The sequence below is a fragment of the Homo sapiens genome, chromosome 8 (assembly GCF_000001405.40).
Source record: "Homo sapiens chromosome 8, GRCh38.p14 Primary Assembly".
In the NCBI taxonomy this organism is placed as follows: Eukaryota; Metazoa; Chordata; class Mammalia; order Primates; family Hominidae; genus Homo; species Homo sapiens.
The window spans coordinates 11024831-11050710 of NC_000008.11; the positions used below are offsets into that span (position 1 = coordinate 11024831).

Below are 25880 nucleotides of genomic sequence, written 5' to 3' on the forward strand. Positions count from 1 at the left end.
TGGGAACTTCCAGAAGTGGACCATCCATCCCTACTCCTCCCAGAGTTACACACACATCCCAAGTTGAGACAGCACCTGTGACTGGCCTGGCCACACACTCACCATTAGGTGGTCAAGACCGGCTCTCTAAAGTGGCTGCCTCAGGCCCTGTGGCTCCCAGTAACCAAAGTCCACAGGAGGGGTGGTGCAGTCTGATTGATCCAGGAAGTGAGCAGTGATGGGAACAAGGGATCCCCCCATCTTTCTACGAGGCCTTGGAGCCGACTGGAGCATGTCACAGAGGGGTGAGCAGGACTTATTTCATCATATGTTCAAATGCTTGTGACAGACTTCCAGACACTTCTGTTCCTGCCTCTTCTCCCAAACACACACCCATCCACAGGAACCCTGTACTCATGTCCGCCAGATTCATGTCTACTCGAATAAAAACTTCAATTCAGTGGTTACGTTTGATGTCCCTGTGCCTTTCAACACATTTTTACATAATCTGACTTTAGAGCCTTTTCTTTATAATATGCTTCCTTTCTAAGAGGAGCCGATGCCTTTGGTTAATGGAGTCTATTCAAAAAATACCTATTGAATACCTGCTAAGGCCTGCTGAAAGCCAGACACTTGGGGTGCAGGGAGGGGTTGCCAATGGGATAGAGGAAGCCAGAGACACATACTTTCCCTCCAAGAAGCTTAGAGTGGGGGCGGCCTGGGGGAGATGGAAATTCACACAACTAATGCCAGGCTTGGTAAGTACACGGAAAGAAGTGAACACAAATTGCTTCAGGAACAAAAGCCTAATTCCTGTGTTTGCATGGGCCTCTGATTTCAGGTTTGTGAATTCATGAGTTACGATTTGTTAATATACATCATGGTGCATGAAATAAAGCTCTTGATCTAATAACACTAATACACACCAAATAGAGTGTGAGCTGGATGAGTAATTAGTGAAGCTCTGGGGTGTGACATTAGCCCTGCTTGTGGAGGGAGGCGTAGCACTGCCTATGTGTATATACAGCCATGCCTCCAGTATGGCAGCCACCAGGCACACGTGGCTACTGAGCACTTGAAATGTGGCTGGTCCAAACTGAAATGTGCTGTTAAATACACATGAGATATCAAAGACCAGATATCAAAGAATCAGTACAAGAGATTAAAACAGCTCATGAATACATTTTGTACTGATTACATGTTTAAACAATAATATCTTATACAGTCATGCACCAATCAACAACGGGGATACATTCTGAGAAATGTGTCGTTAGGCGATTTCATCATTGTACGAGCATCACAGAGTGAGTTACACATGCCTAGATGGTGTCGCCTACTACACACCTACGACACACCTAGATGGTCTAGCCTACTACACACCTAGATGGTCTAGCCTACTACACACTTAGATGGTCTAGCCTACTACACACCTAGATAGTCTAGCCTACTACACTCTTAATGGTGTTGCCTACTACACACCTAGATGGTCTAGCCTACTACACACCTAGATGGTCTAGCCTACTATACACTTAGATAGTGTTGCCTACTACACACCTAAATGGTCTGGCCTACTACACACTTAGATGGTCTAGCCTACTACACACCTAGATGGTCTAGCCTACTACACACTTAGATAGTCTAGCCTACTACACACCTAGATGGTCTAGCCTACTACACACCTAGATGGTCTAGCCTACTACACACTTAGATGGTCTAGCCTACTACACACCTAGATGGTCTAGCCTACTAAACTCTTAATGGCGTTGCCTACTACACACCTAGATGGTCTAGCCTACTACACACTTAGATGGTCTAGCCTACTACACACCTAGATGGTCTAGCCTACTAAACTCTTAATGGCGTTGCCTACTACACACCTAGATGGTCTAGCCTACTACACACCTAGATGGTCTAGCCTACTACACACTTAGATGGTCTAGCCTACTACACATCTAGATAGCCTAACCTACTACACACCTAGATGGTCTAGGCTACTACACCCTTAGATGGTCTAGCCTACTACACACCTAGATAGCCTAGCCTACTACACACCTAGATGGTCTAGCCTGCTACACCCTTAGATGGTCTAGCCTACTACACACCTAGATAGTCTAGCCTACTACACACCTAGATGGTCTAGCCTACTACACACTTCGATGGTGTTGCCTACTACACACCTAGATGGTCTAGCCTACTATACACTTAGATGCTGTTGCCTACTACACACCTAAATGCTCTGGCCTACTACACACGTAGATGGCGTTGCCTACCACACACCTAGGCTATACGGCATAGCCTGTTGCTCCTAGGCTACAAACCTGTACAGTACAATACTGTACTGAATACAGTAGGCAGTTGTAACACAGTGGTAAGTATTTGTGAATCTAAACATATTTAAACGTAGAAAAGGTACAATAAAATATGGTATTATCATCTTATGGGACCATCCTCATATATGCAGTCCACCATTGACTGAAATGTTATTATGTGGCATGTGACTATGTATATTGGGTTAAATAAAATATGTTATAGAATTAAAATTAATTTCATCTTACTTCTTTTTACTTTTTTTGTTTTATTGTAGCTACTGGAAAATTTAAAACCCCAAATGTGATTCACATTTATGGTCCACCTTATATTCCTATTGGCCAATGCAGATCTAGAGCATTCATATTCGTTTCGTCATTTAATTCTCACCACCATGCTACAAAGTAGGCATTCACCCCCATTTTACAGTCAAGCTAATTGAGGCTCAGAGAAGTAGTAAATTACTCCAAGTCACATGACATTAGGCTTCAGCAACTCACTTGAGCTGATGACTATCTTGGGCCAGTGGCTCAAGGCCTTGCAGCAAGATGAAGGCCAAGACAACCACGTCTACTGGCAGTGTGGCCTGGGGCCAGTTATTTGCTCCATTACTTGTGGGTAAGAACAGAAGGAGAGTAGGTACTCCGTGTGTTCAACAAGTGAGGACGGTCATCATTGTATCACACGTCTTAAAAATATCCCCTCCCCCTGGCGCCTCCTACCTACAAGGCCCACAGTTACAGCCTTTGAGGCTGGGCTAGAAGCCCCTCTCCTCCCCCATTATCAACATCCCACCCCTCCAGAGTGGTGCACTTGTTGCAATCGATGAATCTACATTGACAGATCGTCATCACCCAGAGTCCATAGGTTACATCAGGGTTCATACTTGGTGTTGAACATTCTGGGAATTTTGGCGAATGTATAATGATCTGTACCCACCATTACATTATTAACATACAGAGCAGTTTCACCACCCTAAAAACCCCCTGTGCTTGGCCTGTTCATCCCTGCCTCCCTCCAACCCCGGCAACCACCGAGATATTTACTCTCTTTATAGTTTTGCCTTTCCAGAATGTCATCTAGTTGGAATCATACACCAAGTAGCCTTTTCAGGGTGGCGTCCTTCACTTAGGAATAGGTTCTTCCATGTTTTTTCATAGCTTGGTAGCTCATTTCTTTTTTAGCACTGAATGATATCCCATCGTTTGCATGGATCACAGTTTACCCGTTCACCTGCTGACGGACACCTTGCTTGTTTCCAAGTTTCAGTAAGTATGAATAAAGCTGCTATACGCATCTGTATGCAGATTTTTGTGGACATAATTTTCAATTCCTTTGGGTAAACGCCAAGGAACACTATGCTGGATTGTATAAGACTATGTTTAGTTTTGTACAAAACCACCAATAGCTGTACTATTTTGAGTTCCCACCAGCAATGAATGAGAGGCATGCTACTTTGATGAGCTCATTGCCATGTTATTCTTGTTTGTAGGAGCTCCACCTTTCTGGCCAGACCCCAGCCATCCAATCTCACTGGGGTTCCTACAGGTAGCATTTGGCACTTGGTGGATGTACCTTTGCCGCTTACTAATAATTACAGCTCATGGCAAGCACTTAATATGAGCTGGGAACTGGGCAGAGGTCTTTCCATATCTTGTCCCATTGACCCTCACAGCAACCCTATGGCCCAGGCACTATGACAGTCCACATTTACACACAGGACAACGGGGTCTCAGATGTGCTCAGTGGCTTGTCCAAGGTCACACTGCTGGCAGGTGGCAGGGTGGGATGTGAACTCTCTGCAGGTGGCCCCCTGGACTAGGCTGCTCCCTGGTACCTGTCTCTCCATCTTACTTAGCTATGAGCTCTTTAAGGGCCAGGACAATACCTCATGCGCCTGGAAGTCACCCCCACCCTGTGCCTGGTGCCTCACCTGTTAGGACACCAGTGATGCTGGCTGAGTCCTCAGCGACCCTCCCAGTCCTGTGTCGTAGGCTCTGCTCTTTCATGTGAGCTGTCCCCAAGAACCCAGCCCTATCTCTATCATCCCTCCCAGGCCCCTTCACTCTCATAGTCCCAATTTTCCTTCTGGGCTGTTGACCCCCAAATGCCACACCCAACCTGGTCTTGTGCAAAGATCTCCATTTCCTTTTGTCTCTGAATGCTGTCATCAGTTGTCCCTTTAGGAGACCCTTACAGACCCCTCATATTCGCTGGTAGGGACTGACTGTGTTTCCCCAGATCCATATGTTAAATCTCCAACCCTTAATGTGATGGTATTAGGAAATGGGGTCTTTGGGGGTGATTAGGTTTAGATGAGGTCATGAGGATGTAGCCCCCATGATGGGATTTCTGTCCTTATAAACAGAAGTGCATGAACCAATGAAGGACATGTGAGCATACTACCAGGAAGAGGTGGTGCCCTCCCGTCCTCACCAAGAACTCGGGCATGGTTGGCACACTGGTCCCAAACTTCAGCCTCCAGAACCAAGAGAAATCAGTGTCTGCTGTGTGAGCCACCAGTCTCTGGCTTTCTTCACAGCAGCCCAGTTGACTGACATTTGCCATGACAGAAGACGACCTCATTGTCCCTCCTTGCCAGTCCCCCCATTTCCTCACGTCAGTGCCATTTCCACTTGCCCTTTAGCCAGTCCCCTGGAACCCAGGACACTCTAACTCTCCTCTCTTATTCTAATTTTCAATTCTCAATTTCCCCTTCAAAATCTCTCTTGGGTTCTTACCTTTCTATCCCTACTCCACGATCTTGGCTGAAGCCATTTTCCATCCATAACAGAAGAACTCTAACAGTCTATGTGGTGTCCATACCTCCAATCTCCCTTCATCCAGTCATCATACACACAAATCTGCAACAGCAATACCACCCAAACCATGTAGATCACTCCACAACCCGCTATGGCTCCCTACTGCTGCTTGGATAAAGTGCACTCTGTTCTAGTATTCCCAGACTGCAGGAGTCTCACCCCTAGCTGCAGCTGTCCCAGCTCACTCTGCACAGATCCCTGCTTTGGCTCAGTCCACCCCCTCTCTGTTGCCTGCCCGAGTTGGGCTCATTTCCACCTCCGCGTGGCTCCACATACAGTCCCCTGGCCTGGACTGCCCTCATCCTCCTTCCCTTTCCATCTGGGTGACAACAGGCCTTCCAGAATGGTCCCAAGGCCAGCCACAGAATCTGTGGATCGTTCTAAACTGCACAGATTGAGAATGTACATGCTGCCATTGTTTCTCTGCAGATGCCATCAAACAACAGGCCTCTCTTGGTAGCTGGTGTCTCTTGCTCACCAACAGGATGCCCTCCAGTGAGGAGGTGTCCAGCAATCCTCAGATTGCATACCCTTGATCCTTGATCAATGTCGAAGTAAAAAGTAAGCCTAGTGACAACCCGCAGCAAAACAGTCTCCCTCTTGAGAAATCTAGCATGTGCCCGAGTGCCAACCCACCAGCAATGACCTCTGCAAGGGTCCCTTACAACCTCAGGTCCCACAAGTGACAGGGACATTCCTGGGGGTGGCGTGAGGGGAGGGACTCAGTTAATCCCTTGTAGACAGCAGCAGGTTCCCCTAGGACAGCATCCCCCTAATGGGCGGTAGTTCCTCACCTCTGCCAGCCAGCCAGCCAGTCTCTCCTAGGCGTGGAGGGTGGGAATGGTATGAAGTGAAACCTCCCTACTCCAATGCCCTCATCTGAAAGCCCCAAAATGAGGAGGGAATTGCCCTCTCAGGCTCCTCATTGACCACCTATGTCACTACCATTCAATAAATGTGGTATTTGTTACAACTGCCCTATGAAGTAGGTACTCTTATGACCATTTTAAATATTAGAAAACTGAGGCTCTGAGAAGTGGCACAGCTAGTAAAAGGCAGAGTTGGTAGAGTGCACACCTACTGGCTCTCTCCTGGCTCACGGCAAGCCCATTCCAGCTAACTGCTCCCTTCCTTCACAGAGGGGAACCATGGTGGTCTTGTTTGAGATGACCCTGTTCACTGGCTGCTACTGATTGAACCAGAGGTGGGCTCCTGATCCAAGCTGGGCCAATCAGAATCTGGTATTGGGAGAGAAAATGCTTAGATAAAGAGCGAGAGCAATAGAGAAAGAGAGAGAGTGCGTGCAAGAACGTGAGAGCATGAGGGATATTTTAGACTTCCATCTCCTAATCCACAGTGACCCAACGGCTCAGCTGCACCCTTGCCTTGGGTCTCCTGAGATCTCTCCTTGGGGCTTATGCCAGCCCAGTGGGTTCTCTTCAACTAGAAGGAGAGTAAGCAATAAGGTCTGAGGCAGGTCCGAGTAAGGCACTGGAGGTGCAAAGACAAGTGTAGCCCACGGGGGTTCCTGGCTGCAGGAATTTGGGGCCCACAGCAGAAAGAACCACTCCAGGAGACAGGCCATGAGAATAGAACAGTAAGGCCGGAGAGTCAGGGACACTCAGCAGGGATCTGCCAGCATCCCAGGACTGTGCTGCTGAGAAGGGGCTGTCCTCTTAGCTGGGCCAGGGAAGGAATGGAGAGCAAATGGGTTTCATGCAGATTTCAGATGAGGCCTGATTGCAGCATTCTAGAAGAAGACATTTGCTAGAAAGCCCAAGTGCCACCACCTCCTCCAAACCTCTCCTAACTCTGGCTAAAATAAACGTGACAGTGAAACTAGGACTTTATTCACATGGCCCTGCCTGTATCTTCATTCCTATACTGGAATGGAAAGTACTGATGCAGAATCCATGTGTGATTTATTTTTGCATCCCAAAGCACCCAGCCCAGTCCCCAGCCTATCCTAAGGAAGTCTGGAAGGATGCCTGTTGAATGAGTGCACAGGGAGATCCCCCCAGCAGGCAGCCTCTGCCTAGCCACAGCTGTTTCCAAGCAGGTGTGCGTGTCCCCATTCAGGGCTTCTGAGACAGGGCTCCCAAGACAGGGCTCCCCCGTGGGGCAGGCAACAGGTTTGCCACAGAGGTCCCTTACTACTCCTGAATTCTAGGGTGATACTGCCCCTCTGGGAGAATCTTGCCTTTGCTCATCTAGTTTTTCTTCTGCTTCTTTTACAAATTGGCACCAGACGCAGGGCTGAGAGCCAGATTAGGGAAGAAAGCTGTCAAAAATATCTCCCCTCCAGAAAAAGCAAAGGAAAACAACATCTTGGTGGGTTTTTCCAGGGGAAGAAAAAGTGAAATAGTTTCTTTTTGCCTTCTATGTGTTGCCCGAAAATGGCAGTTTTGCAGAGAGAAAACATATTTTCCTGAGCAAAGCTGTTTGTGGTGTGAAAGACAGAGTGTGTGTGCTGAGTACAAAGACACAAATTGGCCCGAGGCTCAGCTACGCATGCTATTTTCACATGAGTTTAGATTAGGGAGGAAGAGGTTGGGGATAAGAAAAAATAAAATCTTTGTTTTGTGAACATGAAAAAAATGTTGGCCTGGAGCAAATTCAAACCTGGTGTCTGGCACAAGGCAGGGCTGTAATAGAGATGTGTTGAAAGAAGGGAGGGAAGTTGAGGGCAAGACTGTTTGCCCTCCCCAGGCTCACCAGAGAAGGTACAGGCTCACTCCAACAGCAGGATGGCTCAGGAGCTGGGGCCATTGCAGACTGCAGCTAGGGGTCTGCTCCAGGGCATGGTCAAACACCCCTCCAAGCCCTGCCTCCTGCCCTCTCAGGACCTACCTTACAAGGCTCCTGAGAAGACTAAAGGAGGTAATGCCCACAAAGGTGTTGACACTGGCCCTCCCCTCATGAGCACTGAGGAGCAGTAGTGGCTTTGCTGGTGGTGGAGATGGTGATAGTGATTGTGACCATGAAGATAAAAAGATGACAACGATGATGATGGTACCGATGGTGATTGTAGTGGTGATAATGGTGATGGTTGTGATGATGAAAACGATGATCAGGATGGTAAGGATGATGATGGTAATAATGATGAAGATGATGATGATGGTAATGTGGTGGTGACGATGGTAATGGTGATAATGATGATGATGAAGAGGATGAAGATTATCACGATGGTAATGATGATGATGGTAATGGTGATGAAGGGGTTGATGATGATGGTAATGGTGGTGAGGATGATGGTGATGAGGATGGTGGTGCTAAGGATGGTTACGATGGTGATGGTGGTGGTGACAGTGGAGATGCTAATGATGATGATGGCGATGATGACGATAGTGATGGTGATGGTGGTGGTGATGATGATGATGACGATAGTGATGGTGATGGTGGTGGTGATGATGATGATGACGATAGTGATGGTGATGGTGGTGGTGATGATGATGATGACGATAGTGATGGTGATGATGATGATGATGATGGTGATGATGATGGTCGTAATGATGATGATGGTAATGATGGTGATGATGATGATGGTGGTAATGACTATGGTAATGATGATGATGATGACAATGAAGAAAAACAAAATGAAGAAGATCACGATGACAATGATGATTATGGTGATGGTGATGATACTGTTAATGGCCCCTGCCCCACTCATTATGGGCACTGCCCCATAACCTCTGCTTCCCTTCATTGCTCTACCAGCCCCTTAGAATTAGAAAGGCCTTTCCCCAAAGTCGACCTGAAACAGAGTCGCTCAAAGGGTAGTCTGAGAACCAACTGAATGAGAAAGCCTCTGGGTGTGTGTGAATTATGCAGATACCCAGGTCCACTCGTATCTTCAGATTATGACTCCTAGGGGTCCAGAAATACACATTTTAAACAAGCTCCCCAAGTAGTTCTTCCGTATACTAGACATGGAGAGCCACCCATACAATCCAGCTCTCTCATTTTACAAATGAGGAAACTGAGGCCTGCAGAGAAGCAGCTTGGCCAGCCAGGAATGGCAGAGCCAGGACTATAACCACATCCTCAAATTTCAAGAGCAGTCCCTTGTTGCTCCAGCATAGCCTGTTTAGTCAACCTTATGTGTTAAGTGCCAACTGTCTGCAAAGCACAGTCCACGACCAAACTAAATGAGAAAAAAACAAATCACATAAAACGCATGCCTCAAGGAGACATGGCCTGTGTAGGAGATAAAAGAATAATGGGGAATGGTGAGTGCCAGACAAGGGGAAGAGAGAGAAGCTGAGGGAGTTCAACAGGAAAGGCTGCACAGTGTGGGAAATGAGAGGCTGGAGGATCTCAAAGATCCAGGAAGACGGCATGGAGGAGCCAGCACTTCAGCTGCAGCTTTGAAAGATGAGCACAGTTTAGCCAAACAAAATAACAAGAAGGGTGCCACAGGCCGAGAGAGCATCATGGGTAAAGGTACAAGGCAAAATGTCCAGGACATTTATGGGGAAGGGGAAGAAGCTGCATGTGTCTAGAGCTCCAGGTGAAATGTACCACATGAAGCACAAGGATGGGGGAGCCAGAGAATATGGGTACCTGAAGCTAGGCAGGTAAGATTGGCTTTTACTCTATGGGCAACAGAGAGCCATGGCAGGCTTTCCAGGAAGGGAGTGACATGCACCTTAGACAGGTCAGCCTGACAGCAGCTTAAAACTAGATGGAATGGGAGACAACTTTGTCCCTAAGCTCAGTCCCCTAAAGATACCAGCACATGACTGTCAGGCCCCTGCTGGGACAGCTGCCCCTCCCTAGGCCTGTCCATTCTCTTACCTCCCTCCTGCCTCTGATGGGGAAGGGGTGATGGGTTGGAAGTGGGTGTGTGCAACATTTACCATGGCCAGGTCTGCTCTGTGCTCTGTCCCCACCCAGCACACCCATCTCCATCCATACCGGCCAGCCTTGCCTGTTCCCTCACAGTGATGCATAAGCTGGGCTTCTCCTGCGGTGTGATACTAATGTACTAGCCAAACCCTGAGAGGCCACATATGGTGGGTGAGGGATGTGGGACTGCCAGACTGCCAGCCAGTGCCCTGAAGACTCTGCATTTCATATGCGTACACATTTAGTAGTAGTGTGACCCTGGGCCAGTTACTGATTCTTTCTGAGCTTCGGTTTCCTCATCTGTAAAATGGGGATGATGATACTTACCTTAAAGGGCTGCCATGAGGTCGAAAGACAAACTATGACAAACAGCCAGTCTCGTGCCCAGCCCAGCGTGGGTGCAAGCTATCTGGTGGCTGCTCGGATGATGATGATGACGATGACAACGATGACGTAGCACCCCATTTCCAGCTCACACCATCGGGATCACCGCCAGCATCAGCAGCATCATCAAGCCATCTTCCTGCGTTGTGGCAGCTTGGGCCCCCACTGGCCATGCAGGAGCCAGGAGATCAAATCATGAATGGGGCTCTTTGCACTTCAGGCAAAGTGCAACTCCAGGAAAGAGAGAAGATTAAGGCCAAATCTCTGCACCCAAACAGGATCCAAGAAGTGGGGTAATCTGGGACTCATCACATCTACATAAAGGGAGGAGGAAGCCCCAGGGTGGCCTGGGGAGGAACCCCAGTGGCCTAAGAGCAAGTTCTGCTCTGCAGCTGAACTTCAAGAACCCAGCTGCATCTCGAAGTTCTCGCTGAAGAATTTGGAGACCTGAAATATCCTGTTTTGCATGAATAAGCATTTCAAAGATATTGATTACAACAGCTCCTTACATGTGTACAGACAGTGGTGTGTCATTTCTCACACATTTTCAGATCCATCATCCCTGTGAGGAGGCAGGAAGGAGATTAGTGAGTTGATGTGATAGATGGGGAAACTGAGGAGAGGGAGGTAAGTGGTTTCCCTGAAATGCCACAGGTCTGATTTTTTTCCCTGAAAAAGGCAGGTCTGATTCTACCTACATCTAGGGCTCCCCTTTGTGTATCTGACCAGATGCATGTGAGAAATCTGAGTTGAGTTACCTGTGAAAGTCTTTTTTTTTTTTTTTTTTTTTTGAGGCAGGATCTTGCTCTGTCACCTAGGCAGGAGTGCAGTGGTGCAGTCACAACTCACTGCAGCCCTGACCTCCTGGGCTCAAGCAATCCTCCTGCCTCAGCCTCTTGAGTAACTGGGACCACAGATACCCACCACCATACCAGGCTAATTGTTTTTCTTAGTTTTTGTAGAGATGGGGTCTCACTGTGTTGCCTAGGTTGGTCTCTAACTCCTGGGCTCAAGTGATCCTCCTGCCTCAGTCTCCCAAAGTGCTAAGATCACAGGCATGAGCCATCACACCCAGCCTGGAAGTTCCTTCTTACCAGGCAGAGAGAGAAGCACTTCCAAGCTTGTAGGATTCTAGGAAAGTTTCTAATCCAATCTCTTCATGTCTCAGATGAGAGGTGGGAGACCTAGAGGAAGCCACTGTGCCCCTATTTAAAGTAAGAATAACCCCAAAGATATCTTCTCTGGTCAAAGAGTTTCCAAACCGTTGAATGTGAATCTTGCTACCGGCAGCATCAGCATCAATGGGAGCTTGTTAGGAATGCACATTCTTAGGCCCCACCCCAGACTTGCTACATCAGCATCTCTGGGTGGGGTCCAGGAATCTGCATTTTAACAAATTAGCCAGGTGGCTGCACAGTAAATTTTGAGAATTTAGCATGCTTAATCTGATGCATGCTAAGATCTGAACAACACTGCTCTCAAGAGTTGGGGGTGAGTGTTCTTTGGAGGGTTCAACAGAAGTTTAAGGCACATTTTCATTATGTTGACGTAACTGTGTTTTTAAACCACAATTTGAAAACAGCCCTTGAACCCTAAGTTATATACCAAATTTTAACAACTGGGAGGCCACCTTGGGCCACAGACTTAGGTCACGCTTTCATGTCCGAACTCCCTGGAAGGTGGCTGCGTGTGTTATTCTGTGAGCACAGGGTGGGGCGTGCCCCATCCTAGGCAGTGCACACTGGCTTGAGCTAGAACCGCTCTGGCGAGCTCTCTCAGTTAGCTCTCCCCTGCTTGAGAAGCCCCCTAGATCGGGTATGAAAGCCAGCTGAAAACGTCGGTGCCCTCTGCAGGTTTTTGTATTTATTATGATCCTACTTATACTTATGACGAGGCGTGGATATCATTTAGTGATGCTACGTGACACAGAAATAACACAACACTTCTCAAATTTCTGCATCTGTTTCACCCAACAATTATAAGTTGAGCTGTTAAAAAAACTTTTTACCATCCACAACCACCACTTATGTGATTACATGAGTTGATCAAGAATTTTAATACTTTTTTCTTTTTTTAAGACAGGGTCTCACTCTCACCCAGGCTGGAGTGTGGTGGTACAATCTCGGCTCACTGCAACCTTCACCTCCCGGGCTCAAGCCGTCCTCCTGCCTAGGCCTCCTGAGTAGCTGAGACTACAGGTGCACATCACCACGACTGGCTAATCTTTGTATTTTTGTAGAGACTGGGCTGTGCCATGTTGTCCAGGCTGGTCTCCAATTCCTGGGATCTAGCGATCCACCCACCTCCGGCTCCAAAAGTACCGGGATTACAGGCATGAGCCACTGCACCCAGCCTCAATGCTGTATTTCTCAATACTGTGTTACACGCATGTAAAAATGATTGAATGGGCCGGGCGCAGTGGCTCACGCCTGTAATCCCAGCACTTTGGGAAGCTGAGGCCAGTGGATCACGAGGTCAAGAGATCGAGACCATCCTGGCCAACATGGTGAAACCCTGTCACTACTAAAAATACAAAAATTGGCTGGGCATGGTGGCGTGCGCCTGTAATCCCAGCTACTTGGGAGGCTAAGGCAGGAGATTCGTTTGAACCCAGAAGGCAGAGCTTGCACTGAGCCGAGATCGTGCCACTGCACTCCAGCCTGGATGACAGAGCGAGACTTGGTTTCAAAAAAAAAAAAAAAAAAAATTAGCCGGGTGTGGTGGCACACACCTATACTCCCAGCTACTCGGGAGGCTGAGGCAGGAGAATTGCTTGAACCCAGGAGGCAGAGGTTGTAGTGAGCCAAGATCATGCCACTGCAGTCCAGCCTGGGCAACAGAGTCAGATATATCTAAAAAAAAAAAAAAAAAAGATTGAATGCTAAGACTAATGTCTAAGACAAACTATTAACTACCATCCCTGATCCCTGATTTCAAATTTCTGTGTCATCGAAAGGGGCCGGTTTTTCTCATTTGCAAGTTTACTAGCAAGTGACATTCTAAGTTTTAACTTATGGGAACCTTTATATGAAAAATGTTACTTGTATCTAACTTGTTTAGCGGTGAGCTTGTGTAGGATTTAATTTGAGAAAAAAGTGTCTCTGCTTTTTAAATGTTAGAAAATTACTAATTTAGGACACCCCGCTCATTTTATAGTTAAGGAGTCTGAGTCCTTATGATGTCATGTGAGTCACTCGAGGTCACACAGGTATTTTAAGTATAATTAAATCAGAGAGCAGGGACACATTGTGTGGAGAGGCACGAATAAATTGTGGGGAAAAGGGAAGAGTACACTTCATGGACTCAGATAAGTAATTGTAGTCATTTTGTGTGTGTGTGTGTGTGTGTGTGTGTGTGTGTGTGTGTGTGTGTGTGTGTGTTTGAGGCAGGGTCTCGCTCTGTCGCCTAGGCTGGAGTGCAGTTGTATGATCACAGCTCACTGCAGCCTCAAACTACCAGGCTCAGATGATCCTCCTGCCTCAGCCTCCTGAGTAGTTGGGACCACAAGTGCTCACCACCACGCCTGGCTAATTTTTTTATTTTTTATTTTTGTAGAGCCGATGCCTCCCTATGTTGTCCAGGCTGGTCAAGGACTTCTAGGCTCAAGTGATCCTTCCACCTGAGACTCCCAAAGTGCTGGGATTACAGGCATGAGCCACCGCGCCTGGCCGACTTCAGGCATGTAATAAATTTAAGTGATTTAGATTGGCTTAGTTTGGCCAGAGGCAGCTAGGTGGGCTTCTGAGGCTTTAGCTACCTGCTTACACTCACTCGTTTCCCACTAGGGCTGCTTACCGCCCAACTCAGTTGTCGACGCCACCCCCAGCTGCAGGGCGGGTGGGCACTGAGACCCTGCCACTCAGAGCTTATGGTCCCCAGAGAGTGGCGCAGGCCCAGTGAGAGCCAGGGAGACCTCAGGGGACTTTGGCAGGAAGAAGCCTGTAGTGTCATCACACCGCCGAGGACAAGAAGGGAAGCACACGCCGCCCCACTCAGCTGCCCTAGAAATGCAAAGCGAAGGGGAGGCCACCAGCCAATGTACTGAAGTCATAAAATCCACTCCAGATCTCACTCATGGTGTGAAACAGAAAAGAGGGAGACTGCAGATCCAAAAGGCAGGAGGAAGCAACACCAGAGGGGGGATTGAGGCCCTGGGAAAGCTACAAAGAGTGGCTGGGCAATGAAGCCCTGGAACAGAAGGCTCTGCAGCCTCAGATGGGCCTGCAACAGCCATGGTTAGGCCAAGGCCAGCCTTTCCCTGCTTACTGGACACGCTGTGTGTGCAAGATGAGGGACGCGCACTGCCCATGAGTAACTTCTGTGTGCCTTTTCTCTTCCGAGATGAGGACATTGGGCCTTGACGGACCCATGGCTGGGGCCACCAAAGAACTTGGAACAGAGACAACACGCGCTGGCCCCAACGTCCAGGGTGGATGGAACAAGACCTTCTGGTGCGAGAGGGGAGAGCCCGGCGGTAACAGTTCCAGCCTGGTGGCCCACGCCCTCCACAAGGACTCCCACCAATTCCCATCTGTACTCGCCCCTTCCCAAGGACGGCAGCTGAGACCGTAGGGCCTTGAATATGCACCTGCAAATGAATAAGTGCACGTCCCGGCCCTACCTGGGCATACAGCCCCCACCTGACAAGCACAGGGAAGCAGCCCGAGCACAGCTCTACGAACGCCGGGGACAGCTGCTCTCCAAAGAGCAAAAGGACATCAGCCCGTTAGCGGAACAAGCTTCCTGTCCATGCCTTAAAAGCATAACTCGTTAACTGCTAAGGTGCTGAATTATTTATGCCACCCGGCTGGGGTTTCCCACCTTCCAGCAATTGCTCACTTTCCTATCCCCATCCCGCCACCCTCTGCCTCCCTCACCGTCGGGAGGTGAGGAAGCAAGAAGAAAACGGAGGCCCAGGCAGTTCCTTGGGAAGGGTGAGACCTTGCAGTAAGGACCCAGGCCGGGGGGACCTTCCACTCCCTTGTCCATAAGGTCCACGATGCCCTACTTTCCACTCCTGCAGGAACAGGACCCTTCCTGCCCAAGGCTCCGGCCCTGCCTCAGTCCCTCAAAACTACCACAGCCTCACGCCTGGAATCCCAGCACTCTGAGAGGCCGAAGCAGGAGGATTGCTTGAGCCCAGGAATTTGAGACCAGCCGGGGCAACATAAGCAGATCTCATGTCTGCTAAAAAAAAAAAAAAAAAAAAAAATTAGCCAAACAGGGTGGCACCCACCTGTAGACCCAGCTACTCAGGAGGCTGAAGCAGGAGGATCACTTGAGCCCAGGGGGTCGAGGCTGCAGTGAGCCATGATTGCACCACAGTACTCCAGCCTGGGTGACCGTGCAATCCTGTCTCAAAACACAAAACAAAACCTACCACAGCCTGGGAGGCTTACAAACAACAGAAATTCATTTCTCAGTTCTGAAGGCTTGGGAGTCCAAGATGAAGGCAGATTTGGTGTCTGGTGAGGGCTCTCCTGGTTCGTAGACGATGCCTTCTCACTGTGAACAAACCCTCCTCATCAGGGCACTAACACCATCACTGGGCTGCACCTTCACGACTGATCGCCCCCCAAACCCCCACCTCCTAAGACCAGCACATGGGGTTAGGATGTCAACACATGCATTTGGGGGACATTAACACTCTGGCTGTAGCTAATGGCCTCCTGTAAAACAGAATCATTGCTTGTAGCGTCTCTCTCACAGGGGCAACTCAGGGAAAACCAAATCTCAGTTTGGGGGCCTGAAGAAGACTCCCAGAAGCAGGTATCTACGTACATCGGGCAGATACTGAAGCAAATGCTTTGACCATCTCCTCCGTGCTAGGTGGGGGCTGCAGGGACCTAGGGGCAATGTGGACCTTATGGACAATGGCCCATTCCAGCCTCTCAAACAGCATTGGTGGAAGTGGCTGCCACCCCCATCAGGATCAGAGGAGAGATGCCACTGAGACGTTAGGGACAGCTCAGTGTACCGTACATCCCTGAAACGCATTTTAGAAATGTTATTCATGAGGAGTTTATAAAAACTTGGATGATGCTTGTAACAGAGCATTAAGGGAAAACAAGCAGAACAAAACATTGTGCAAAGAGCATGACATCAGGCCGGGCGCGGTGGCTCACGCCTGTAATCCCAGCACTTTGGGAGACCAAGGCAGACGGATCACAAGGTCAGGAGTTTGAGATCAGTCTGGCCAACATGGTGAAACCCCGTCTCTACTAAAAATACAAAAACTAGCTGGGCGTGGTGGTGCGTGCTTGTAATTCCAGCTACTCGGGAGGCTGAGGCAGGAGTATCGCTTGAACCTGGGAGGCAGGGGCTGCAGTGAGTCAAGATCTTGCCACTGCCCTCCAGCCTTGGTGACAGAGCAAGACTTTGTCTCAAAAAAAAAAAAAAATCAACTTAGGTTTTGGGAATGATGTTGATGATGCAGATGCAAAGGGAGGAGCCAAAAAAGTTAACAACTGCTGGTACGTGGGTAGTGGGGTTGTGGGTCATCTTAGGTGGGACTAGAGGGAGAAGAGGAGAGGGGCCCAGGGCCCTGGGGGCTCAAAGAGGCTCGAAAGAAACCCCTCTGCCATCTGGCCCAGGCCAGGATAGGGAAAATCCTGGGACCTTACGCTACTGGTGGAATAAGACATTAAAAATGGTCTAATACATTGATACAGTTCAGGAAGTTTTCTCTCTGCACCAACACATATACACACACACATACATATATAAACACAACACACACAAATGCAAATGTAAACCACACACATGTATACACACCCACACTCATTGTACTGTATATATATAAGTGTGTGTATAAAGTCCTCTTCCCACCCCACTTGGCCTCCCAAAGGTACACACCAAACTGTAATTTTGCAGTGGTCCTTTATGATTAAATAAGCAAGTACACATGCACCTGTCTGATTTTCCCGTTTTTACCAATAGGAGGCATTCTAAACATACTGTTCTGCCTTCTTCACTCTTCACATCACAGCAGGACTGTGGCAGTTTATCACAGGTCGAGTCTCCCTTATCCAAAATGCTTGGGACCAGAAGTGTTTAGGATTCCTTTTTTTTTTTTTTATCTTGAAATATTTGCATTATACTAGTTGAGTATCTGATATGGTTTGACTGTGTCCCCACCCAAATCTCATCTTGAACTGTAGCTCCCATAATCCCCACATGTCATGGGAGGGACCCGGTGGGAGGTAACTGAACCGTGGGGACAGATTTTTCCCGTGCTATTCTCAAGATAGTGAGTGAGTTCTCATGAGATCTGATGGTTTTATAAAGGGCAGTTCCCCTGCACATACTCTGTTGTCTGCCACCATGTAAGACATGACTTTGCTCCTTCTTTGCCTTCTGCCATGATTGTGAAGCCTCCCAGCCAGGTGGAACTGTGAGTCCATTAAACCTCTTTTTCTTTATAAATTACTCAGTCTTGGGTATTTCTTCATGGCAATATGAAAATGGATTAGTACAACATCCCAAATCCAAAAATCCCAAATCTGAAATCTGAAATGTTCCAATGAACATATCCTTTGAGCATCATGTGGGTGCTCAAAAAGCTTCAGATTTTGGAGCATTTGGATTTCGGATTTTCCCAGATCTGGGATGTGCTACCTGGACTAACATTTGGATCCCAGCAGTGGACCCTTCCATGGCCCCTGCCTTGGCAGAAATGGGGAAGGCAGCTCCCTGGGCCTCCCTAGCACTTAGGCCCAGAAGAGTCCTCCCTGCACTCCTCTTCCTGCCAGGTCTCTGGAACTCAGTGAGGCAGGGTGCAGGAGACTTGAGATTGGCCAGCCCCACGAGCCCAGGGCAGTGGTGGACCCCAGGCTTGTGCTGCTGTAGTGCTCTTGCCAGCCCTGGGGGGCTGGGGCCCACCCAGAGGGGTCCTGGTTGGAGACCTCCACAGAGTACTCAGAACACGCAGGGCTCCCTAGGAACTCCATGCATTATGGGAGGATAAAATATTTAAACCTATACAATATAAAATATTAACTTAATTATCATAAATAATATATGCCCAATGCGTCTTTACTGAAGAGGAAGAGAAAAAAAAAAAGATGAACACTCTTAGCGTGAGCACTCAAACACTGGTGAGGATGCGAGGTGGGGTGTTGGGAGTGAGTCTCCCCTGCAGCAGGAACTCAGCTCACATGCTTGGAGCTAAGCGGCTGGATGGCTGCAAGTCTAGGAAATCGTCCATCTCCTCCTGGGCCACCCAGCCTCCTCTTCCTGCTCCTTCAGGGAGCCGACCCTGACCTCTTCCTCCTTTACCTACCCAGGACTCTCTGGAAGTCCCTCCTTCACGTTTGACCTTGAGGAGTTTGTTTTACGTCCCCTGAGCCTCAGTCTCTGCCCCAGCAGCTGCAGAGCCCCTGGAGGGCAGGCACTGGGTCTTGCACTTCCCCTGGGCAGAGTCAGTCCAGGAAATCTCTACTGAATGAAAAGGTGTTCCCACCTGAGAACTAAAAATAAAATCCTAAGCCTCCCAAACCACTGAATGGTCCCACCCACCTCTTGGCCAAGGGAACCCCAGAGAAATCTTAAAAACTAAGTTCCCGCCCATGACAGGACAGGAGGTTGGATGCACCTCATTATACATACTCCCGTTTTCATTTAAACACTAGAAACAACTGACCAGCATTAATGCCAAAGCAGAGATCATAAGACTGACAGAACAGACTCTGTGGTGATAAGATACCCAATTATAAACAGGACCTAAGGCCGTGCAGGCAATGGTGAAGTCAGGCACACCTACACTTAAAGAATCAACTAAGCTCTAACTGTCACAGGGTTCTTCTTTTTCTCCAGCAGCTAAACAACACTTGCCTCAAGATAAGCAATAGTAAACCACTTGCAGCTCCACCAGACAGTGACTAACCGAACCCCTGTTCCACCAGCTGTAACTACAGCTTTGATTGGACAAGAGACTGATTTCAGTAACTTTCTCCTGATAAGACCACTGACCGTGGACTGGTTCTGGCTGGTTTACAGAGGCTGAGCACTGAGGGCCTTCATGTCCTTGCCTCACCTTTTAACGTACAGAACCTAACTGTAATGCATTTAAATGTTAAGTCTCCAACCAAAAATGAACATGGAACATAAAGTGCATGTTTGCTTACTATGCGTGCATGCATTCCCCCTTCATGAATATTCATAGCTCCTCCCAGAACCTGTTGAATATGTATTCTCAGCCAACCCCTTCAGCAAAAAAGTCCTTGCTTTTGGTTTTCAACCAGTGGTTGCACTTCCCGCCTGCAGTTTGCGATCTCCTTCTTAAGAAATAAAGCTCTCCTTTCTAAATTCATCAATTGTGTGATTTTTCAGCTGACACACCTGGGGCCCTTCCATCGCCAAGGTCAGCATGAAGTGTACTTTATGGCAAACACATCTACATATATTCCCTCAGATCATCCTCCCAACAACGCTGTCTTATAAGCAGGCAGGGTAATGATTTTCTGATTTTTTTTTTTTTTGCTCTGTCACCTAGGCTGGAGTGCAATAGCATGATCTCAGCTCACTGCAACCTCTGCCTCCTGGGTTCAAGTGATTCTCCTGCCTCAGGCTCCCAAGCAGCTGGGACTACAGGCGAATGCCACCACTCTGGGCTCATTTTTTGTATTTTTAGTAGAGACGGGGTTTCACCATGTTGGGTAGGCTGGTCTTGAACTCCTGACCTTGTGATCCACCCAACTCGGCCTCCCAAAGTGCTGGGATTACAGGCGTGAGCCACTGCACCCAGCCAATTTTCTCATTTTACAGATGAGAAAATGAAGGCTTAGAGAAGATAGGTAGCAGGCTGAAAGACAACATCTTTCTAAGCTCAACTCCAGTGATCTTTGCTTACTTGTAACATTCCCTTATTTGCCCTTTGTGTTACCATTTCCACCCTCAAATCACTCTTTTTTTTTTTTTTTTTTTTTTTTTTTTTTTGAGGAAGTGTCGCTCTGTCGCCCAGGCCGGAGTGCAGTGGCACGATCTCAGCTCATTGCAACCTCTGCCTCCAGGTTCAAGTGATTCTCCTGCCTCAGCCTCCTGAGTAGCTAGAGACTACAGGCACACACCACCAGACCTGGCTAATTTTTGTATTTTTTGGTGGAGACAGGGTTTCACCATGTTGACTAGGCTGGTCTCGAACTCCTAACCTCAAGTGATCTACCCATCTTGGCCTCCCAGAGTGCTGGGATTATAGGTGTGAGCCACTGTGCATGGCCTCAAGCCACTCTTAAAGATATTAAATATATCAATCTGATTTTGATTGTCCCAATAATGCCAGAGGGGAGGATGGGCAGCTATCACCATCTAGGTTCCTACTTCTTAGGGTCTGTGTGACTAGTTATAAAACTATTTTCTCTTTTAATCTTCCATTTCCTCTGCTATAAAACAGAGATAATACTACTACTGACCTCCTAGAATTATTGGGAGGGTTAAATTAAACAATGTGTGTATAGTGCTGAGTGTTGCGGACAGCTCGGAGAAGATGCTTGAGTCTAGCCATCATCATGAAAACTCCACAACACCAACCACATCAGGTCTTTCTCCTGTTCCTATCTTTCTCCTGCTCCCTTCCTTATTGAATTTCCACAGTCTCCACCACAGAGGCAGTGCACTGGTGTGACTTGGGGGTTACCACAAGGAAAATGGAAGAAAGTAAACGTTTACTGTGTCTCATCACTTGTAAGTTAAAAAATAAAAGAAAAAGAAAAGAGACAATAGCCACAGCCAGAGTAGGATGGCTGTTATCAAAATAACAGAAAATCCCAAGTGTTGTCAAGGATGCAGAGAAACTGGTACCCTTGTGCGCTGTTGTTGAGAGAATGTAAAGTGGTGCAGCTGCTGTAGAAAACAGTATGCAGTCCCTCAAAAAAGTTAAACAGAGAATTACCATATAATCCAATCCCACTTCCGGGTATATACCCAAAAGAATTTAAAGCAGGGATTCAGGCTGGTCACGGTGGCTCACACCTGTAATCCCAGCACTTTGGGAGGTCGAGGTGGGCAGATTGCTTGGGGCCAGGAGTTTGAGACCAGCCTGATCAATATGGTGAAACCCCCGTCTCTACTAAAAATACAAAAATTAGCTGGGCATGGTGGCACGTGCCTGTAATCCCGGCTACTCAGGAGGCTGAGGCAGAAGAATCACTTGAATCTAGGAGACAGAGGTTGCAATGAGCCGAGGTTGTACCACTGCATCCCAGCCTGGGCAACAGAGTGGGACTCTGTCTCAAAAGAAGAAAAAGAAAAGGAAAGAGAGTAAAAGAAAAGAAGAAAGCAGGGACCCAAAGAAATATTTGTACCCTTTATATGAACATTATAATGTTCCTAGCAACATTATTCACAGTAGCCAAAAGGTAGAAGTAACTCAAGTGTTCACCGGTGGATGAATGGATAGAGAAAATGTGGTTATTACATACAGCAGAATATTTTTCAGTTATAAAAAATAAGGAAATTCTGACACATGCTACAACATGATAAACCTTGAAGATGTAGTGCTAAGTGAAATAAGCCAGCCGCTTATTCACAATAGCCAAGATAAGGAATCAACTTAAGTGGCCATCCATGGATGAATAGACAAAGAAAATCTGAGACAGATAAAGATATAGATACATAGATAAATGTTTAATAGAGTCTTATTCATCCTTAAAAGATATTTAAATCCTGTGATTTGCAACAACATGGATGAACCTGGAGGACATTATGCTAAGTGAAATAAACCAGGCACAGAAAGACAAATACTACATGATCTCGCTTATGTGTGGAATCTAAACAACTCAAACTCATAGAAGCAGAGAGGAGGACGGTGAGTGCCAGGGGCTGGGGAGAAGGGAAATGGGGGGCGGGTGTTGGTCAAAGGGCACAAAGTTTCAATTCGGCAGGATGAAAGAGTTCTGGAGCTCTAACGCACAGCATGGTGACTATAGTTAATAACATATTGTCTACCTGAAATTTACTAAGAGAATAGATCTTAAATATTCTCACAGCAAGAAAAAAATAACTATGCGAGGGGAAGCTACACTAATTAGCTTACTTGCGGGAATCATTTCACAATGTATACACAGTGTATCAAAACATCACACAGTACACCATTAATACATAGTTTCCTTTTGTCAACTACACCTCAATAAAGCTGGGAGGGGAAGCAGAGTTCATGAAACCAGTTGTAACACAAAAGATATGTTAAGAATATTTTATTTTTCAATTTTTCATCAGGGATACCATGTGGCTTTCATGGGCTTCACGAGTAGGATGGTGATTCCACTACTGTGTACATTTACTGCTTTAATGCAAATATAAACTACATTTCAAATATGTCATTGGCCCATTTTCCATGAAAAAGAAACCAGTCACAAAAAGACAAATTCCACATGATTCCACATCTGTGAGGTCCCTAGAACAGCCAGATTCATAGAGACAGAAAGTAGAATGAGGGTTGCCAGGGGCTGGGAAAAGGGGGCATGAGGAGTTGTTGTTTGATGGAGACAGAGCTTCAGTTTGGGAAGATGCAAGAGTTCTGGCGATGGATAGTGGTGATGGTTGCACAACAGCGCGAGTGTACTTAATGCCACCAAACGATACGTTTACAGATAGTTAAAATGGTAAATTTAATATATGTATTTTACCATAAAAAAATTGGCCTTAACAACAGTGAACATGCGATTACTGAATCTCACTACATGATCCCAGGAACAGGCTCAGTGGATGACACTTCTTTCAGTTAATCTTTACAACCTTCTGATTAGTGTTGAAAGTCCCAGTTTTACAGATGGGGACTCTAAACTTAGAGGAGTTACCTGCTTTGCCAAGAAAATTCTCAAACACAGACATGTCAGCCTCCAGCGCCTGTGTTCTCCTGATTGCAACCCTGAATAGCTCCACCTCTTTAGCAACCCAGAGTGATAACAAGGGGACTGTCTGTATCCTTCGATCACACACCCCCCACGCTCAGTCACTGCAGCAGCCAGAAAGCCACCTGTTGAGCTGGTAACACTCAGCCCTGGGGAAGCCTAGCGCCTAGACACTATGGGGCTGAACTTCCGTATCTCACCGACAGGTCACCTCACACCATCAGCAAGGGGAATCCGGCCCTTGTTTCTCAACATTCTTTGCCTGCAGTTCTGAAACATCAAGCTGTTTAGGGCAGACGACTCAGGAAGGAAGTTCAGGTCTTCTCGCCAGGGGGAGGGAAACTACTGCTTTCTGGAGGCCTTGCCTTCTCTCCCCGCCCCGCCCACCAGAGTCCCTGTGCTCCTTTGATGAAATGGTTTCAGACTTGCAGAAACGCATATCGAGGTCTCTTAATATGTATAGCAATACCAGACAGCAAGGACACCTGAGCGTGTGTTAAAAATACAGGTTCCTGGGACCAACTCCTACGTGTCTGAGTGCCTCGGCGAAACCTGGAGATGTGTATTTTTAAAGGCCCCCGAGGATTCGGATGCACGGTGAGGTTGGAGAAGAGCTAGCCCAGGGGTCTCTACAAATGAAGGGAGCCCTGGAGGCTGAGTCCCCTTCCTGGGTGACTCTGGACTCCGCAGGCCTCTGGTCTGCAGGGTTTGTGCTACCCCCTGTCCTGTGAAGCCCCAGACCTCCCGGTGGCTGATGCCTGGCGCTGCCCCTGGCTCTGCGTGGTTCTGGGCCAGGCCTACAGCCTCTGCTCTGTCCTCTCGCTGGCCTCCCCCTCCTTACCCCTGCCCCATGGCACTGTCCTGCCCACTCGCTCCAGCCGGCCCCGCCTGTCTGTCAATTAAGTGGGCTTGGCTGGCTGCCCAGGTGCACAGTGGCTGAGGTGGCTGCAGGCTCTTATCAATGAGATCAACAGGGTGTCTGCTGAAGACGAGTCGGAACAAGATCCCGTGACTATGCCCTAGGTGGTATTCTGGAGGTCACCCTGCTGAAGTGGCTGGCCTTGGTGGCAAGAAGCTTTTCTGGGGAGGAAAGGGCTCTGGGTTCTGGGTTGCTCAGGAGCCCATTGGAATGGATGCTCTGTCTGCCTTTGCACTGCAGAGCAGCTTATTCTCGGAAAAGGCACCTGGGGTTCTAATGGCTGCAAGGCACCCACTGGCTTAATGAAACCTGCTCTTGGCATCTCTGCTGCCTCTTTTAATTCTTGTTTGGAGAGTAGCCAAAACCTCTATCTGTTCCCCCTTTTCTCAGGACATGACCCGGCAGGAGGGTTCAGAGCCCTTCCAGGCTGGGACTTTATTTGAGTCTATTTGTGAACAGGTGGATGCCTGATGGAACACAGCCCCTGACCCGGGGCTGGCTGCTCCCTGCGCCTCTCTGCAGGGGGCTGCGGGAATTAGCCTCCTCCAGGGGTGGCTGTACGTGAAGACCTACCAAGAGCTGAAGACCCTACTGACACCACTAAGAGGGATTTTTTACTGGGGAGCCCCAGAGAGAGGGAAATGGATCAAGGCCCTGGAGCAGGCTTGGCAGCGAGACCCATCCTGCAAGAAGGGCTGCCAAGGCTGGCTGAGGTGCCCACCTCCCCGTGGGCTGGCAGGGGAGGCACCAGTGTTAACACTGGAAACACCTGGCTGATAAAAACCAAAAACATTCTCTCAATGATGGGTGAGAAAGAAGAAGAAAAAAAAGTTAACCAAATCTGTTGGGCAGAATTTTTCTAGTCTTTTCCTACTTAGCTTTAAAAGGCCTTCAAGAGTCACTAAGGGGCAAACAGCGCATACACACAGCCAGGAGAGAAAGACTGTGTCTGCTGCAGAGAGGCTAGAAGGACATTTCCCCCTTCTGTGCCTCAATTTACCATTGCAAAATATAGCGTCCATTGCCTTTCCCGGGCCCCTCGTGAGGAAATCATATTGCTGCAACCACAGAGATCTCGCATTTCCACTAGGAGCTGCTCCCTGGCCTTGAGCAACACGCTCCAGTCCTCGGGGTTTTCACTTGCAAAACAGAAACATTTACAAAGGAATATCAGGAATGGATTCCCCTCCTACTCCCAGGGCCGGTGCTGTTGTGGCTAGCACACGGAGACACGCAGATTCAGTGAAGCTGGCTGAGTAACAGAGACAAGCGTGCCAGATACAGGGAGGGGCAATGTAACTGCGACAGGATTCAAGAATATGGCCAACATCAGCTATCGTCGAGATCGCGGCTGATCTCAGCAATCGTGGCATTCACATTAAGTCCTGGTTGGAGCGAGTCACTTCGTCCCTCCAAGCCCCACGATCTCCTCATCAGTGTAAAATAAGGGGATGGGCCTGGATGATGGTCTCGGAGATCCCTTCCAGCTCCGACAGTCTACAACTCTATGAAGAACAATGAGAAAAAGACAAGTTTGTTGACAGAAACATTTTTAGGTCCCCAGCCAAATCCAAGGGACAGAAAAGGGAGAAAAGAGAGGGAAACAGAAGAGAGAAAGAGCTTTCATTTTATTTAAAAAAAAAAAAAAAAGAGAGAGAGAACCTGACTTGATATCCCAGAAAAGCTATGAAGAAAGAGAAAAGAAACTACTGGGCAGGAAAAGAACACTTGTGGATATTTTTCTTTCAAAGAGAAGAGCTGTTTGGTAGAGAA

The 25880-nt window shown here is 47.9% G+C and overlaps 1 protein-coding gene and 1 non-coding gene across 3 annotated transcripts in view; both read right to left on the bottom strand.

Annotated features, from left to right (window-relative positions):
• XKR6 (XK related 6) overlaps positions 1-25880 on the bottom strand; it is a 305789-nt gene that overhangs the window by 128786 nt on the left and 151123 nt on the right. The gene's annotated exons all lie outside the window — the stretch shown is intronic.
• MIR598 (microRNA 598) lies at positions 10376-10472 on the bottom strand. Its single transcript, NR_030328.1, has one exon. It is a non-coding gene; the product is annotated as a microRNA 598 (primary transcript).